This window comes from Homo sapiens, chromosome 10 (genome assembly GCF_000001405.40).
Source record: "Homo sapiens chromosome 10, GRCh38.p14 Primary Assembly".
Lineage (NCBI taxonomy): Eukaryota > Metazoa > Chordata > Mammalia > Primates > Hominidae > Homo > Homo sapiens.
Window position 1 is genome coordinate 98,134,294 of NC_000010.11, and position 18,685 is coordinate 98,152,978.

Below are 18,685 nucleotides of genomic sequence, written 5' to 3' on the forward strand. Positions count from 1 at the left end.
ATGACAACAAGGCATTTTCCATGGGGGCGGAAGCTGCGATGAGGAGTGAACACAGATGAGCAAGTAGAGACAGTGTAGATTATCTTTTTCAAAAAACTTGGCTGTGAACGGAGGAAGTGAGATGGTATAATTGAGTGGAATGTAAGGAGATTTGCGCACGTATATAGCCGAGAGGAATGAGGAAGGGTTGAAGGGACAGGAGCAGAAATGCTCTCCGGCACTCGCCATTTTGCCAGCTTCTCCCCTACGTGACCTGAACTCAGTGGGCGCGGCCGGGCCTCGCGGAAACTACAACCCCCAGAAGGCCCCACGGCGTTGGGGGCGGAGCCGAGGCCTGACGCGCGCCCCAGCGGCGCGAGCGGAAGAGATAGAGCTTCGCGGAGACGGCGGAAGCGGAGAGCAACAGCGCGCCGGTAACAACCAGCCCCGTATCCCCTCCCTCTGTACCTCAAGCTAGGATTTTTAATCCCCACTTCTCCCTTCACAGCCCGGGACAAGACTTCCATTCCGTCGTTTGTTGCTGGTATTTTTTTTCCTCATGTGACGCGAGGGGCCGCCCCCTGCCTGGGGCGGAGGTTACTGGGAAGCTCCCGCCTTCTGACCCCTGCGGGCCCGCGGTTGAGAGGGACCCTCCCGGGGCTCTTTTGCACTCACTGGGGCTCGTGCTCGCTTTGGGCGCTCGCCCCAAATGATCCTGGCGGAAAGGACGTGCTTTTTCTGGGTTTCAACAGGTATTGAGCGGGGTCCCTGGTTACCCCCTCGGGGCTGCGGGGCCGTGGGCCCCCAGGGCTGCCGGCGGTTTCCGGGCTTCGCTTCGAGCCTCGCCTTTGAGCCTCCTCCGCTGCCCGGGAGCCCCGGGCTACGGGCTGGGAGTGAGCAATCTATAAAGGAGCATGTACTTCCTGCTTTTTCTTGGCAGGCCTGCGAAAAACCCCAAGTCCGATCTTTAAAGTTTGTGAGTGCAGCCCCCTCTCAGTTGTGTACGGGAAGGAGCACAGGATTTGGAGTCTGATATCCTGGGGGAAGTCTCAGTCCGCCACTTGGCTGGACCTGTGATCTTTTGTACAGTAGTCTGTTTAGCGCAGCCTCGGTTTCGTTGTCTGAAAAGTGGGGTTAATGTTCTTTGCCCTGCGGCCTTCCAGGGTTGTGGGCTTCAGCAGAAGTGATATTCCTGCGAAAGCTTTGAACTCTAAAGTATGTTTCGGGTATAACCTTGCCATCCCCCAGTCTCCAGTCTAGGTCAGTTGAGTTTTAAAACCAGGTTCATGTCTATACGAAGATCAAATTAGTTAATAAATAGGGGGAAAGTGTCTTTGGAAACGAATCTGAACCATACAGATGTTTTTATGCCAGGTTCCTAGTGAAGAGGTGACCTTAGGGCGTTACCACCTGTGGAGTCAATTTAAAACTTCATCTGGATTTTAAGGCCCACCAGAATTTAGACTCTTCTTCCTCAGCACACACAACTATCTCTTGCTGTTATAACCTTCCTTCAGTATCACACAGGTACAAGCATAAAGCAGTAAACGTTCCTCAGATATGGTTGTACTACAACTAATACCTGTCCCCAGCAGGTCTTGTGTCTTGTGTCACAGTTGAAATTCAGAATATAAATAGCCAAATATCCCATCTGTTTAATTTTTTTTGACATTAAGCTTTGAGACTAAGCAAGTTGCTTATTGTCTTATTTTTCCCCTTACAGAGAATGCTAATTCTGCAATCAGTTTTTTTTTTTTTTTTGGGTAGAATCAGGATTTCACTATGTCGCCCAGATTGGTCTAACTCCTGGGCTCAAATGATCCTCCCGCCTCGACCTCCCAAAGTGTTGGTATTACAGGCGTTTGACACTGTGCCCACTGTGCCCGACCTCTGCGATTAATTTTTAAAGGGGTAAGAAAGTGTAGTTAGGTATTTTTAGTCTGTGTTTATTCTGAATTTATTGATTGAAGAATACTTGAAAATGGTCCAAAAAACAAGAGAGGATGACAGTAAGTTGCATTAGCTTAGTGTACAAATTCGAGCAAATTTGAGTTCAAGTCCTGGTGCTGTGTCTTACTACAGGTTGGAGTATCCTTATCTGAAATGCTTGGTACCAGAGTGTTTCAAATTTCAGATTTTGGTATATTTGCATATACATAGTTAGATATCTTTGGGATGGGACCCCAATCTAAACATGAAATTGATTTAGGTTTCATATATACCTTATATACATAGCCTAAAGGTAATTTTATATAGTATTTTTAATAATTTAATAATTTGTGTCCAGACGCGGTGCCTCACGCCTGTAATCCTAGCGCTTTGGGAGGCTGAGGCAGGCAGATTGCCTGAGCTCAGGAGTTCAAGACCAGCCTGGGCAACATAATGAAACCCCATCTCTATTAAAAGTACAAAAAATTAACCAGGTGTAGTGGTGCACGCCTGTAGTCCCAGCTACTCGGGAGGCTGAGGCGCGAGAATCGCTTGAGTCCTGGAGGTGGAAGTTGCAGTGAGCAGAGATTGGGCCACTGCACTCTAGCCTGGCCGATAGATTGAGACTCTGTTGGGCATAACACTAAGTTTGGATTGAATTTTTACTAAGACCTGTCACATAAGGTCGGGTGTGGAATTTTCCACTGGTGGTGTCAAAAGTTTTTGGGGCTGGGCGCGGTGGCGCACGTCTGTAATCCTGGCACTTTGGGAGGCCGACGTGGGCAGATCACGAGGTCAGGAGGTCGAGACCATCCTGGCCAACATGGTGAAACCCCATCTCTACTAAAATACAAAAAAAATTAGCTGGGCGTGGTGGCGTGCGCCTGTAGTCCCATGTCCTCAGGAGCCTGAGGTAGGGGAATCGCTTGAACTCGGGAGGCTGAGGTTGCAGTGAGCCGAGATCACACCACTGTGCTCCAGCCTGGCGACAGAGCAAGACTCCCGTCTCAAAAAAAAAAAAGTTTGTAAGCATTTTGGATTTCGGATTTTCCGATTAGGGATTCTCAACCTGTAGTTTTTGATTTTGGGCAAATTAGTTGACTTCTCTGAGCCTGTTTCCTAATCTCTCAAATGGAGGTAAATGGCATTATGTCACAAGGTGTCTACAAAGATGAAATGAGATGTGACCATAAATGGCTTACTAGTGCTGGGTACAAATAAAGTTCTCATTATTTTGTTGCTGTTGTTATTGATGATTATGATAATAGTGATGATGATAATTTTAGGTATTTTCCTGAAATTCCATTTATCTGTAAAATGAGGATAGTCATCCTTAATTCACAAACTTTAAAAAATACTGTAAATAGAAGTTGTCAGATTGCAGTTTGTTTTTTAGCAATTGCATTTTATATAAAAATTATATTAGATTTTTTTTCAACTTTAGAGGTTCCTAAAATGCTGTTGTGCAAGGTTATTGGGCTTTGCTGTGTTTCTGTTTTTCTAGAGATTCCAAATGTTGCTTTGTACCTAGTTTGTTGAAATTGAACTGGTGCTTCATTTACAACCTGTAGTAAGAATGCAATTCTGTACATTGTAGCTTGTAGCAGAGCAATTATCTATCTTTATGACTCAGATATTGACTAGGATAGACGTTTATGGAACAGTTTTGTCTTCCTGCCTTATTTTTATTTTTATTTTTTTTAAGCCAGACTATTAGACTTTAAAATTTAAGCTTATTGGATAGGGTCTGGGAGACTTGGTGACCTTCATTTTTTCAAGATGGCATTTCTTAGTGACTGATGCTAATGATGGCATTGGTATGTATGTATCTGCAGGGAGTGAGAGTTGAGAAAAACCAAGGAGGAAAGCCTTATAGAGAAAAATGGTTTGTTGGTCAAGGCAAAGTCTTGGAGTTTAGAATTGAAGTATATATTTTTTACTTCCTTCAAGTGCCATGTTGACTACCAGATATCTGCAGATTCAGATGCTTAGGAAATGTTTCCTTTACTCTCTTTTTTGATGTGGTATGCCTGTGCTATGTTTTGCCAGCTTCTTTCTTACCTTTAGTTATGAATCAGCAAGATAACTATTTTTTCACACCAGACTTGTATACAAAGCTATGACAATAGAAAGTCACTTCCATTAAAATCTACTTTGTATGCTATAATGTGTTAATTTTTCCTTTATGTTTTAATCTTAAACACTTTTGGCTGGGCCTGGTAGCTCACTCTTGTACTTTCAGCATTTTGAGATCCTCTGAGGTAGGCTCATTTGAGGCCAAGAGTTCAAGACCAGCCTGGGCAACAAAGTGAGACTTCATCTTTATTAAAAAAAAAAAATCAATTAAACACTTTTGTTCCTTGACTGTTTTTTACTTAAAAGGAATTTTTGGAAGGTATGCTAATTCTCATCTATAGTGTGTGAGTATGTATAGTGGATGCTCAGTAATGAGTGTGCTGAATAGTTCTGAATAGGAACATTTTGTTGATTGTCCTAGGTCACTGAGGTGCACTCTGGAGAGGCCATGTAGCATTGTGGCAATAACCTATGCTTTGGAGTCAAGACAGACCAAGGTCTGAATCCAGGCTCACTAGATGTAACTTTGGTTCATATGATCATTCTGAATTCAGTTTCTCATCATCTGGAAGACAGATTAGACTAACCCTGCATGGTTGAGAAGATTAAAGATTATTCGAATGAGGCACATATTAGCCAGGTTTAGTATAATATTAAAGATTGGGGTGGTGTTGTTATTACTATTTTTAATTTTTATTTTTTTTCTGAAAGGTATGGATTTTGTTGATACATCTATATTCATTCCCCTAATGCTTCAATGATCAGTGTGTTTCTTAGCCAAGGTTAAGGTTGTTGACTGTGACCATGGAACCTAGAAACACACAGCAAAGCTAATTGGCCAGCATGGAGTTTGAGTCTGTGACCTTGTCCTCATTAGCTCCATAAGCTAACTATTCACAAATATCTCACCAGAATGAATGAAAAGACTGGTATATTTTTTATTTGGCCCTAATGCAACTCATTAGACATAAGTAAATGAACTAGTGCCAGAAGCAAAAGTATAGATTTTTCATTAGCTTATATAAATATATGATTAGCCGTCACACTATGTATAAAACTCGTGACCTGTAGGATGATCTTTGACAACCCCAGTAACCTAAGCTTATAATTTAGACATTTCTTTTAGTTGTTGAATTATATTTGTTGTAGACTTCTCACCTATAGGAGAAGTGAGAAGAAATGGAGCTAGGCTATTCATGCCTTGAAAGAGTACCCTCCTTCTGTTGTGCTACCCACGAGGAAATGTGCTCTTCGCTAGTGCAGAAAACATTTAGAATTATCCAGTAATGAGCCCAGCAGGATGGATGAAGCTTGGGGAACTCCTAAGAGCTTATTGAATTACAGAGAAATTCCAGTTGTCAAAGCATTAGATAGAGGAAAAGTTATAGGGTGTTACTTAGCAGCAGTAAGCCTGCATTTGGAGAGAATTTTCTTTTCTCTTAATAAAACATGGACCAATTGCTTCGAGTCTGTGGTGTCCATTTTTCACTGTCTCATGCTAGCCTTCTGTATAGTTTTTCATTCTTCAAATTCACCCTTCAGTTTTATTAATATTTGTTGTCCTTCTTGTATCTTTTTTTTTAATGCCAGATATAGCTGGATTGGGACTAGGGATAAAAACAGAAGCAGAGAAGCACTGTTGGAAAACAGATTCTAGTATCTAGTATCGTGAGGTTTCCAAATAACATGGGTCAAACTGAACATGAGGATACGGATTTCTGGGATAGGCAAATGGCTGACAGTTCATGACCATTTAACCTGTGCAGAGTGAATAATGTGGGCAAAAGGTGTGTAGCACTCCTTAATATCACATTTGTCTCTTAGAAAAGAATCTGAATGCCTGTAGTGTTCATATTGGCTTGCAGTTGTGCTGTTTCAAGTTCTTTGCCATGGAATGCCAGAAGACTATTAAAGAAAGAAGGGAAGCAGTTGGATTTACATCCTGATTTCTCAAATTGTATGCCAGTCGTCCTGTTTCTGTTTTCTTGTCTTTAAAATAGGGTTAATAAAACCAACTCTGCTTGTTTATAAATATTAAAAGGAAAAGTAAACAGCAAGGATGTATTAAAAATGAGGTGGATAACTGGGGGAGAGACGGAAAGGCAGAATCCAAGAGAGGAGCTCAAAGACACCTACACACAGAGTCATAGAGACACATGCAATAGGCAGAGAGAGAGGAGGGTCAGTCAGAGACAGAGAAGTCAAAAACAGAGAGGGACAGTCACCTAGGCAGAGTTAGAAAGCAGGGTAATCAGAGATGTAGACAGACGGGCAGAGTTAGAAATGAGGGACAGACAGATACAGGGAGGGAGACAGAAAGAGTGAATGTCATGAGTAAGATGGAGAGCTTATTGGATTTTTGTCTGTTATTTGAGAAGAACATGTAAATATTTATAGTTGGCTAGGAAAGGGAAAATAAACAGATATTAATAGTAAATCAAGTAACATGAAATTTTTATTACACTAACATTTTTCCTTAAATACTAAGTTTATTTTGCATATTCAGCATGCAAATATCAAGTCAATTTATGTATTACCTGTTAACTACTTACGTGACCTCTCAGTGTAGTTTAAACACATTTTTAAAAAAATTAAGATTAATATTAATTTTTTCCTCAAAAAATCTAATATATAACTTACTATAGAAAACATGGCAAATACAGGAAATTTAAAAGGAGAACAGAAAACACTCATAATCTCACAATCTAAACATAACATAATGAGGCCCACATTTTTCATGTTTTTTTTTTCCCAGTCTTCTTTTTCTAGGCATTTACTAAAGCCCATCTACTTTCCTGAAGGACCCAAAAGCTGTTTATAAGTCCAAAATGATGCTGTAACTATTTGTGGCAGAGTTAACTTTATAATCCTATTTTGGCACTTAGGTACTTTCATAAACTAGTGTGTACCCATTTTATTCTCTTCCTAGATTGTAAACTTTTAACTACAGACTATATGTTATTCATCTTTGTGTCTTAGGAATCTAGGAAAGTATCTTACATATCATAGGTATTCAGGGTATATATGAGATGAATTGTTAAGCCTCCTAAGTAGAAACTGTCTTATTTAAACAGGTCTGCCAAATTGCACATTGGATTGGACCTTCCTTAAAGTTGAGAAAAACTTGATTTTAGGGGTGGTGTGTATGTGTGTAATGTAAAGCTACCAAACTGGGAAAGGGCACTTTTTTTCTGGTTACCTTTTGTTGTGTTTGTAGCAAGCCATTCCAAAACATAATGGTGTAAAACAACCATTTTATTGTGCTATGGATCTGTTGGAATTCAGACAGGACAGTTTCTGCACAGATGGCTTGCTTAAGCCTTAGCTGGGAAGATTCAAAAGCTGGTGGTGACTTTATGGCTGGTACTTAGAACCTGGAGGCTTCTTCACTCACATGGCTGGTGATTGATGTTGATTGTCCCTCAGAACACCTACCTACCCAGATAGGCTAATTTGAGCTTCTTTGCAGCATGGTGGTGGCTGTTTTCTAAGAGTGAACATCTAGAGAGAACCAGGTGGAAACTGCATTACTTTTTGTGACCAAGCCTTAGAAGTTCTGTAGTATCACAAGCTTGCCAGATTCAAGGAGAGAGTGACAGTTACATGGGATCTGCTTCTCACAGGAGTGTCAGAGTCACTGTAAGAAAAACATTGTGGGGGTGGGAGGTAGCAAGTTAAAAAATGAGTTAATAAAACAGTATCACTTTTTAAATGTCAATGAATAAATGTTCTATTGAAAGTAAGGGTTTTTCCCTACTGCTGATGGTGTTATTTTGTTAAAAAATTTGTACTAAACTTGTAAAAACTTTTAAACCTAAAGCAATTTTAAATTATTTTCTTGGCTTTTAAGCTCTGAACAAGATCTTATTATTTCTTTTTAACTGAATTTGCAAGTTGGTCAATTTCTATACTTGGGTCTTGCCTCAACCCCATTTACTAAAACAAGTCTTGTTTTATAAACGATATGCATGTTCACTGCAGACAGTTTAGAAAATCAGGAAATAAACAAAATCAACTCATGATCTCACCTCTGAGATGTAATCAGTTCCAGGTTCATTTCTTTCTTTTTTTCTCTCTCTCTTTCTTTTCTTTTTTTGTACCTGTAATCCCAACACTTTGGGAGGCTGAGGCGAGTGGATCACTTAAGGCCAGGAGTTCGAGACCAGCCCGGCCAATGTGGGGAAATCCTGTCTCTACTAAAAATACAAAAATTAGCTGGGCATGGTGGCATGTGTCTGTAGTCCCAGCTACTAGAGTGGCTGAGGCATGAGAATCACATGAGCCCAGGAGGTGGAGGTTGCAATGAGTGGAGATTGCATCACTGCACTCCAGTCTGGGCGACAGAGTGAGACTCTGTCTCAAAAAAAAAAAAGTAGGCCGGGTACGGTGGCTCATACCTGTAATCTCAACACTTTGGGAGGCTGAGGCGGGCAGATAACTTGAGGTCAGGAATTTGAGACTAGCCTGGCCAACATGGCAAAACCCTGTCTCCACTAAAAATACAAAAATTAGCCAGGTCTGGCGACATGTGCCTGTAGTCCCAGCTACTCAGGAGGCTGAGGCAGGAGAATCGTTTGAACCTGGGAGGCAGAGATTATAGTGAGCTGAGGTTATGCCACTGCACTCTGGCCTGGGCCACAGAGTAAGACTCTGTCTCCAAAAAAAAACAAACAAACAAAACAAAACAAAACAAAAAAAAAACAGAAGAAGAAGAAATACTAATGTGTTTGATTCTGGTTGGAATATTTTGTGACATATGGAACATTTACCATATTAACCTTTTCTAAATCTGAAAATTTCTGATTTCTGAATCTTGTCTGGTCCCACAAGTTTTGGATTAGGGATTTTGGACTGCAGTTAAAAACTTAGTGTTAGGAAAAGATGAGATTATTAGCTTGTTTTGGTAGTTCTGAACTTTTTTATCACATGAATCTTCCCAGAACTTTTGTGCTTTCATTTCAGGAGAAGATCCAGAAGGAAAAGAAATAGTCTTGATTTGTTTATATGATCAGTAATTCTCTCTTACCATCACACGTAACTGTTTCAAACTTGTGACCATCTCTCAATACGTTCAGAATTTCTAGTGACTTTTTATGCCTCTTGATCCTTCGTGTGAGAACCACTGATTTAAATTAAGTACTGGAGTTGACAAGCCCCAGGAGCCATGTAGTTCTTGGTTTTTTCCTCCAGTATTAGTCACTGTGACATTGCTGTTCTTTGCCTTTTTGCCATAGTATTTCTTTTTTGTACCATGTTTCTTGTTTGCTTCCTTGGGTATCCTGAAACTTTTCATTGCTTCTAACACTTTGGTGAAGGACAGTGCTTCAAAAATTAGGATAAGATCTTGGCTGCAGTTTATTAACTTGCAGTTTGCCCCCTCAGTGGAGAGAAAACATTAAAATCAGGGTTGAGGAATGTATCTTTGACTTCATAATGTCATGTAGTTTTAACTTTTTGAGTTATTACTACTGTCATAAATTCAGTATATGACCGTACATTATAAACTATTCCAACCAGGGTCTAGGGCATTACTTTGTAATTAAACATATTAATAGTTCATATGTATTCATTATAGAGGATTTGGAAAATACAACCATATTTTCACCACCTTGAAGTAACTGTTAACATTGGGGTTTATTACCCTATTCTGTTTTCTGTGTGTCTATTACCGTAGCACACACACATACTTAAATTGTAATCTCTTGCTGTTATATATAAACTTTGTGTCCTGCTTTAAAAAATATATAGTGGGTCGGGGCAGTGGCTCAGTAATCCCAGCATTTTGTGGGGGGTCCGAAGCAAGAAGATTGCTTGAGCTCAGGAGTTTGAGAGCAGCCAGGGTGATTTAGTGAGACCCATCTCTACAAAAACAAAAATGTGGAATGTAGCATGAGTTATATTACTGGGCAGTAATATTTATTTATTTATTTATTTATGCATTCATTCATTCATTCCCGAGATGGAGTCTTGCTCTGTCACCAGAGCTGGAGTGTAGTGATGTGATCTCAGCTCACTGCAACCTCCGCCTCCCAGGTTCAAGCAATTCTCCTGCCTCAGCTTTCCGAGTAGCTGGGATTACAGGGGCGCACCACCACACCTGGCTAATTTTTGTATTTGTAGTAGAGATGGGGTTTCACCATGTTGGCCAGGCTGGTCTCAAACTCCTGACCTTGTGATCTGCCCACCTCCGCCTCCCAAAGTGCTGGGATTATAGGCGTGAGCCACCGTGCCCAGCCTGGGCAGTAATCTTTAGATTTGTCTTCGTTTTGGATGGGAACCTAGGAGACTGGGGTTCAAATTCTGGCTTTGTCCTTGCCAAACTGAAAACTAGGGCAAGTTATAGGATACCTCTGGGCTTCCATGTGTCAGCTGTCAGATTTCCAAAGTATTGACACAACAATCTTATGAAAGTTAACCCTCTGCTTAGAACATTATTCATACGCAAAAGAAGTCCTAGTCTGGTCTATCTTTGAGATTCTTCTGGTTCTGCTACTGAATGATCTCTAAGTTGAGGAGTGCAAAATACAGCAGTATTTATGTCAGGTTATTTAGGCCTAATGGAGGAGAAGGATCTTGAATGAAATGAAAGAGTAACAAATTGACTGGAGGGGACAGAAGAAAACTCTGGAGGGAATGGTGTGAAGTTGGGAGCAAGAATGAGTACAGTATGTGAACTGAGTGAGACAAACAAGTGATCTTAACAGTACTCCACAAATAGAATGATTTTTACTGATGAGTAGTAAGGAGATAGGATTTGTTAAGTTTATATGTGTGTGGGGATAATGAAGAAGAATTAAGGGACAATATTGAAGGCTAGGCTGAAAAACTTAAATTTGATCCAATAGGTGACAGGACTTCTGTTGAGAGTCATATAATGAAAACAGTGTTTGACTAAGGCTGCCTTGGCAACTTTGTATGTTTGATAAGCTCAAGTAGAGGGAATTGCTGAAGAGTACAGTATTTCAATTGTACTGTGGAATAATGTGGAAACAGAAGTAGGAATAATGTAAAAATAGAAAACATGATATCTCTTGTGGAAGAAGAAGAGTAAGATATGGGGTTAGAAATCGGAGTCAGAATACCGCAAAATTTTGAGCCTGACATATGAAGTGTACTGTGTCATTGATAGTGGCATTGGGAAAGGATCTCAGATAGGTCTTGGAGAAAGGTAACGAGTTCAGTTTCTAATATATTCAGTTTTAGGCATTAGGTTATTTAAGTGGTAGTTTTAAAAGTCTGGTGCTTTAAAAATTGATTAATCTAAATGAATGCTGCCCCTTTTAAAGTAATGTTTTTGGGGACATGCATTTATTCTAGCAAATAAATGTTCTTTGGAATTTGTCTTTTGAAACTGCTTTTAGAACCTGTAGAGCCACATAAGAAAACCATTCTCGCTGGGCGCGGTGGCCCACGCCTGTAATCCCAGCACTTTGGGAGGCTGAGGCAGCGGATCACGAGGTCAGGAGATCGAGACCATCCTGGCCAACATGATGGAACCCTGTCTGTACTAAGTATACAAAAATTAGGTGGGTGTGGTGGTGCATGCCTGTGATCCCAGCTACTCGGGAGGCTGAGGCAGGAGAATCACTTGAACCCTGGAGGCGGAGGTTGCAGTGAGCCAAGATCACTCCACTGCACTCCAGCCTGGGAGACAGAGCGAGACTCCATCTCAAAAAAAAAAAGAAAACCATTTTCATGACTTGATGGTCATATCCCTTGTCCCCAAAAGAATATGATCTTACTTGGTCACCCATCTATTTACCATACATATTTCTAAGTAATAATTGGCAGTTTCTAAAAATTAATCTGCAGAAACATCAAATTTATTACTATGGAGGATATTTTAATAATTATTGTGATTGTTGGGGACATTAAAAAGTCTTAAGCTGTGATAGCATCTTTTTTGGTTACAGCTCTGTTGACAAATAATTTGCATACTATACAATTCACCCATTTTTTTGGTGGGGGGGACATGTGATAATAAATTTATATAATTTGTAAAGATCTAATAAGAGTAAGTAGGGATATCCGTCACCTTACACAGTTGTCTTTTGTTTTGTTAAAAACAGTTGAAATATGTAATTATTGTAAACTTTAGTCATCCTACTGATCTATCAAACACTAGGTCGTATTTCTTCTATCAAATTGTATGTTTGTACCCATTAATCAACCTCTTTTTATCTTCCCCATCCCCACCCCTTCTTGGCTTCTGGTACCCACCAATCTGCATTCTATCTTCAAGAGATCCACTTTTCAGATCCCATGTATAAGTGAGAACACATGATATTTGTCTTTCTGAGCTTGGCTTGTTTTACTTAACACAATGACCTCTAGTTCCATTTATGTTGCTGCAAATGACAGGATATCATTCTTTAAAACATTTTTTGTTTTACTTTTAAATTATTTTTATCAGGGCAACCTTCTGAACCAGAATAGATTCAGAGAGACTCCCAATTTCATTCTTCTTCATGACTGAATAATATTCCACTGTGTATATGTACCACTTTTTCTTCTTACATGTATCTATTGATGGACACTTAGGTTGATTTCATATTTTGGATATAGTGAATAGTGCTGTGAAAAAATAACATGGAAGTGCAGATGTCTCTTTAATATATTGATTTCCTTTCTTTTGGATATATATCCAGTAGTGGAATTGCTGGATCATATGATGACTCTATTTTTCATTTTTTGAGGAGCCTCCATACTGTTCCCCATAGTGGCTCTATTAATTTACATTCCCTCCAACAGTGTAGGAGAGTTCCCCTTTCTCCATATCCTCACCAGCATCTGTTATGCCCTGCCTTTTTTATAAAAGCCATTTTAACTGGCGTGAGATTAGATCTCATTGTGGTTTTTGATTTGTATTTCTCTGATAAATAGTGATGTTGAACATTTTTTTCATATACCTGTTGGCCGTTTGAATGTCATCTTTTGAAACATCTATTCAGATCTTTTGCCTGTTTTTAAATCAATCTGATTTGTTTGTTCTTTTGCTGTTGAGTTGTTTGAACTCCTTGTATATTCTTGTTATTAATCCTTTGCCAGATGGATAGTTTGCAAGTATTTTCTCCATTCTGTGGGTTATCTCTTTACTTTGATTGTTTCCTTTACTGTGCAGAAACTTTGTAGCTTGATGTAGTCCCATTTGTCTATTTTGCCTGGGTTGCATGTGCTTTTGAGGTCTTACACAAAAAATCTTTGCCTAGATCAATGTCCTGGAGCAATTCCTCAATGTTTTCTTCTAATAATTTGATGGTTTCAGGCCTTACATGTAAGTCTTTAATCCATTTTGATTTGATTTTTGTGTACAGTGAAACATAGGTCCTAGTTTCATCATTCTCAGTATAGTTATCCAGTTTTTCCAGCACCATTTGTTGAAGAGACTCTTCTTTCCCCATTTTATGTTCTTGGTGCCTTTGTCAAAAATAAATTGGCTGTAAATGTATGGATTTATATTTGGATTCTCTATTTTGTCCCATTGGTCTATGTGTCTGTTTTAATGCCAGTACCATATTGATGTGGTTATCAGAGTTTTGTAGTGTAATTTGAAGTCAGATAGTGTGATACCTCCAGTTTTCTTCTTTTTGCTCAGGATTGCTTTGGCTATTCAGGTTCTTTTATGATTCTGTATAATTTTTTTGATTGTTTTTCTGTTTCTATGAAGAATGTCATTGGTATTTTGATAGAGATTGCATTGAATCTGTACATTGCTTTGGGTAGTATTGTCATTTTAACTGTGTTACTCCCTCTAATTCATGAGCATGGAATATCTTTCCATTTTTTGGTATCAATTTCTGTTTCCTTCATCAGTGTTTTATAATGTTCCTTGTATAGATCTTTCACTTCTTTGGTTAAATTGATTCTTTGTAGCTATTGCAAATGGGATTGCTTCCTTGAATTCTCTTTCAGATTCTTTTCTATTGGCATATATAAATCTACTGATTTTTGTATGTTGATTTTTGTGTCCTACAACTTTACTGAATTTATCAGTTCTAAGAATTTTTTGGTGGAATCTTTAGGTTTTTCTGTATATAAATCGTTTTGTCTGTAAAGAGGGACAATTGGACTTCCTCCTTTCCAATTTGGTGCCCTGTATTTCTTTCTCTTGCCTTATTGCTCTGGCCAGAACTTCCAGTATTATGTTGAATAAAAGTGGTAAATGTGGGCATCCTTGTCTTGTTCCAGATTTTAGAGGAAAGGCTTTCAGTTTTTCCCTATTCAGTGTGGTATTAGCTGTGGGTTTGTCATATATAGCCTTTATTATTTTGTATATTCCTTCTATACCCAATGTGCTGAGGGTTTTTATCATAAAGGGATATTAGATTTTATTGAATGCTTTTTCAGCATCTATAAAAGTGATCATAGGGTTTTTTGTTCTTGGTTCTGTTAATGTAATGTGTCATGTTTATTGATTTGCATATGTTGAACCATCTTTGCCTCCCTGGGATGAATCCCACTTGATCATGGGGAATTATCTTTTTAATGTGTTGTTGAATTTGATCTTCTAGTATTTTTACGTCTATGTTCATTAGTGATACTGGCCCATAGTTTTCTTTTTTTGTTGTGTCCTTGACTGGTTTTGGAATCAGGGTAATGCTGGCTGTGTAGAATGAGTTGGGAAGTATTCCCTCTCCTTCAGTTTTCTGGAAGAGTATGAGCAGAATTGGTATTCTTTGAATGTCTGGTAGAATTCACCAGTGAAGCCATCAGGTCCTGAGCTTTTCTTTAATGGGAGACTTTTTATTACGGCTTCAATCTGGCTATTTCTTATTGGTTTGTTGAGTTTTTCTGTTTCTTCATGGTTCAATCTTGATAGGTTGTATGTGTCCAGGAATTTATCCATTTCTTCCAGGTTTTCCAATTTGTTGGCATATAGATGTTAATAATAGTCTCTAATGATTCTTTGTGTTTATGGTCTCACTTGGTCTCACTTGTTTTGTCTCCTTTTCATTTCTGATTTTATTTGGGTCTTCACTTTTTTCTTAGTTTAGCTGAAGTTTTGTCGATTTTGTTTCTCTTTTCAAAAAACCAACTTTTTATTTCATTGGTTTTCCGTAGTCTAAATTCTATTTATTTCTGCTCTGATCTTTATTATTTCTTTCCTTCTACTAATTTTGGGCTAGGTTTGTTCTTTTCTAGTTCTTTGAGGCACGTTATTAGATTATTTGAAGTCTTTCTGCTTTTTTGATGTAGGCATTTATTGCTATAACTTCCCTCTTACCGCTGCTTTTGCTGTATTCTATAGATTGTGGTGTGTTACAGTTCCATTTTTAGTTGTTTCAAGAAATATTTAAATTTCCTTCTTAATTTCTTCATTGATCATTCAGATGTTGCTTAATTTCCATGCATCTGTGTGTTTCCTGAACTACTTCTTGTTATTGATTTTTAATTTTGTTCCATTGTAGTCAGAAAAGATACTTCACATGATTTCTGCTTTTTTGAATTTGTTCAAAGATATAGTCTGTTCTGGAGAATGTTCCATGTCTGGATGAAAAGCATGTGTGTTCTGTGGCACTTGGGTGGGATGTTCTAGAAATGTCAGGCTGATTTCTTCTAGTGTGTAGTTTAACTCTGATGTTTCTTTGTTGATGTTTTTTTGTCTGGATGATCTGTCCTTTACTGAGAGTGGAGTGTTGAAGACCCCTATTGTTACTGTATTGCAGTCTATCTCTCCCTTTAGATCTATTAACATTTGCTTTTTATACTTGGCAGCGCTGGTCTTTTTTCTCCTTTAATTGTGTATCTTCAAATAGCCTCTTGAGTTCACTGATTCTTTCCTCTGTGTGATCCTTTCTGCTGTTGAGAGCCTCTAATGACTTTTTCAGTTCAGCAAATGTATTTCTGAGTTCCAATATTTGATTTCTTATACTATTTCAATCTCTTTGTTAAATTTCTCCAATCTGTTTCTGAATTGCTTTTCTGTGTTATCTTGGTGATCACTGAATTCACTTAAAATGGCTATTTTTGAATTCTTGGTTGGAGGGTTCCCAAATTGCTGTCTTGCTAGGGACAGTTGGTTCCTCACTTTGCTGTTAGAGGAGGCCTTGGCTCCCTGTTTGCTGTTGTTTCTTGTGGATGTGCATCTGTATATTTGCATTGAAGGATAGTTCTTTGTTCCAGTCTTTTCTTTTGGCCTTGTTTTCTGTTTTTCAAGCTCCCATGTTTGGATCTACTTGTTTTGGTTTTTATTATGTGTTTGCTTAGTGATTCTTTGTAATACATCTCTTGATTTTCTTTTTCTTTTTTTTTTTCCTGCTAGATTGCTGCCTCCTTTTCGGCACCAGCTGTCACCTTAAGCCCAGGTTTGCCTCGGTTCTAGTAACCAATCAGTATGCTGCCCCTCCTGCATGGGAGGCATCCCACAGGAGATATTCCAGTAGTGTGAGAAGGCTGGCTATGGGTTCATGCCCAGGTGACTTGTGGAATGAACCTCCTACAGCGTGGTGCTGCTGAACAGCTGTTTTGATTTGGCATCTCGTTTGGCTGAGTCACAGAGCAGAGTTTCTAGGGCTGGGAACAGTAGTCCCCCCTCCCCTCTTTGTCTCTGGCTGTCCTCAGGGATACTTCTTCCTTTACATACTCCCAAAACTGCCTGTAATTTGAGGCAGAGACAGGTCTCCTGCCAGAGATCCTACGATGGTGGGAAGCTGGTTGTCCACCTTATTCTCTTTTTCCGGTGTAGTGATTGTGAGTCGGGGGGAAATTTTCTGCATTCTTGGTGCTGAGCATGTTGGTGAAAGGGGCATCATGGTTATGGAAGTTCGGTTTTCCTTTCCTGCTTAGATTTTCTCACTTCTCCATGGCCCTGAAACTGTCTCCTCCTCATTTTTGAATTCTGGGATATTGCTTGTGATAATCTCAGCACTTTGTATTTGTTTTTGGTTTTCTATGGGGCAGTTGAGTGAAGCCAGCTTGCTTCTACGCTGCCATTTTGGAACTGGAAGAATGTGTGATAGTACTTTGGAAGAAGGTCTAGTGTGCGCTGGTTAAGAGGCTGGGTTCTGGAGACCTAGGTTTGAATGATCTCTTTAGTGCATTGTGTCTTGAGCAATTTATTTAATTTGTCTGGGCCTCATTTCCTCATTTGTAAAATGGAGGTGGTGATAATACTCTACTTTGTAGGATTGTTGTGAGGATTGGCTCTGAGAACAGTGGCTGGCAAATACTAAGAGCTCAGTAAATATTAGCTATTTATTACCACCACCGCAACTACTATTATTGTTTCTACCACCACTTTGTCTGTTTATCTATTTTGTTTTAAAAATTAGTTATGTTCCTATATAATTATGTCGCATGCTAGTGGAATGATAGGCAGCTGAATATAAAATTGGAGCTCAATAGATGAGACATAGAGATATGTTTTTTAAGACTGTTTGGCCTAAACCTTAGAGAAGAGCAGAAAAGACTAAGGATGAAGAATTAGGGAATACCCATAGTAAGGGTGCAGGAGGCAGAAAAGGAGCCAGTAAAAGAGTAGAGGGAGATTGTTTAGAGAAAAAAGGAAAACAAGGCACATATGTTAGTGTAGAGGTTATATGAATTGGGATTAGATTTAGTTGCAACCAAGTACCAGAGACTTAAATGTGATAGAAGTTCATGTCTGTTGAGTAAGAAATTCCAGCTCGCTCTCTCTCTCTCCCTCTCCCTCTCCCCACGGTCTCCCTCTCCCTCTCTTTCCACGGTCTCCCTCGCCCTCTTTCCACGGTCTCCCTCTGATGCCGAGCCGAAGCTGGACTGTACTGCTGCCATCTCGGCTCACTGCAACCTCCCTGCCTGATTCTCCTGCCTCAGCCTGCCGAGTGCCTGCGATTGCAGGCGCGCGCCGCCACGCCTGACTGGTTTTCATATTTTTTTGGTGGAGACGGGGTTTCGCTGTGTTGGCCGGGCTGGTCTCCAGCTCCTAACCGCGAGTGGTCCGCCAGCCTCGGCCTCCCGAGGTGCCGGGATTGCAGACGGAGTCTTGTTCACTCAGTGCTCAATGTTGCCCAGGCTGGAGTGCAGTGGCGCCATCTCGGCTAGCTACGACCTCCACCTCCCAGCCGCCTGCCTTGGCCTCCCAAAGTGCTGAGATTGCAGCCTCTGCCCGGCCGCCACCCCGTCTGGGAAGTGAGGAGCGTCTCTGCCTGGCCGCCCATCGTCTGGGATGTGAGGAGCCCCTCTGCTCGGCTGCCCAATCTGGGAAGTGAGGAGCGCCTCTTCCCGGCCGCCATCCCGTCTAGGAAGTGAGGAGCGTCTCTGCCCGGCCGCCCAGTCTGGGAAGTGAGGAGCGCCTCTTCCCGGCCGCCATCCCGTCTAGGAAGTGAGGAGCGTCTCTGCCCAGCCGCCCATAGTCTGAGATGCGGGGAGCGCCTCTGCCCCGCCACCCCGTCTGGGATGTGAGGAGCGCCTCTGCCCGGCCGCGACCCCGTCTGGGAGGTGAGGAGCGTCTCTGCTGGGCCGCCCCGTCTGAGAAGTGAGGAGCCCCTCCGCCTGGCAGCCGCCCCGTCTGAGAAGTGAGGAGCCCCTCCGCCCGGCAGCCGCCCCGTCTGAGAAGTGAGGAGCCCCTCCACCCGGCAGCCGCCCCGTCTGGGAAGTGAGGAGCGTCTCCGCCCGGCAGCCACCCCGTCCGGGAGGGAGGAGGGGGGTCAGCCCCTGCCCGGCCAGTCGCCCTGTCCGGGAGAGAGGTGGGGGGTCAGCCCCCACCCAGCCAGCCGCCCTG

At 40.8% G+C, this 18,685-nt stretch overlaps 1 protein-coding gene across 49 annotated transcripts in view, besides 4 other annotated features; it reads left to right on the forward strand.

Annotated features, from left to right (window-relative positions):
• The first annotated feature begins 363 nt into the window (after positions 1 to 363).
• R3HCC1L (R3H domain and coiled-coil containing 1 like) overlaps positions 364 to 18,685 on the forward strand; it is a 110,241-nt gene continuing 91,919 nt past the window's right edge. For 39 of the 49 annotated variants that reach the window (XR_007061959.1, XM_047425070.1, XM_047425062.1 and 36 more), the window contains exon 1: positions 364 to 413. The gene's annotated coding sequence lies outside the window, so the exon portion shown is untranslated. Of the gene's footprint in view, positions 732 to 18,685 lie in introns of all 49 variants that reach the window. The other 10 variants (XM_047425072.1, XM_047425065.1, XM_047425071.1 and 7 more) reach the window with 1 other exon arrangement.
• Positions 791 to 1,580: an enhancer, noted in NCBI's record as "H3K27ac hESC enhancer chr10:99894841-99895630 (GRCh37/hg19 assembly coordinates)". NCBI's record gives its function as "activates a minimal SCP1, AML or CMV promoter by ChIP-STARR-seq in primed H9 embryonic stem cells {active_cell/tissue: H9 hESC(primed)}" and the evidence as "EXISTENCE:reporter gene assay evidence [ECO:0000049][PMID:30033119]".
• Positions 923 to 1,062: an enhancer, noted in NCBI's record as "active region_3861". NCBI's record gives its function as "activates an Ori minimal core promoter by ATAC-STARR-seq in GM12878 lymphoblastoid cells {active_cell/tissue: GM12878}" and the evidence as "EXISTENCE:reporter gene assay evidence [ECO:0000049][PMID:35858748]".
• Positions 8,229 to 8,348: an enhancer, noted in NCBI's record as "active region_3862". NCBI's record gives its function as "activates an Ori minimal core promoter by ATAC-STARR-seq in GM12878 lymphoblastoid cells {active_cell/tissue: GM12878}" and the evidence as "EXISTENCE:reporter gene assay evidence [ECO:0000049][PMID:35858748]".
• Positions 17,372 to 18,124: an enhancer, noted in NCBI's record as "H3K27ac-H3K4me1 hESC enhancer chr10:99911422-99912174 (GRCh37/hg19 assembly coordinates)". NCBI's record gives its function as "activates a minimal SCP1, AML or CMV promoter by ChIP-STARR-seq in primed H9 embryonic stem cells {active_cell/tissue: H9 hESC(primed)}" and the evidence as "EXISTENCE:reporter gene assay evidence [ECO:0000049][PMID:30033119]".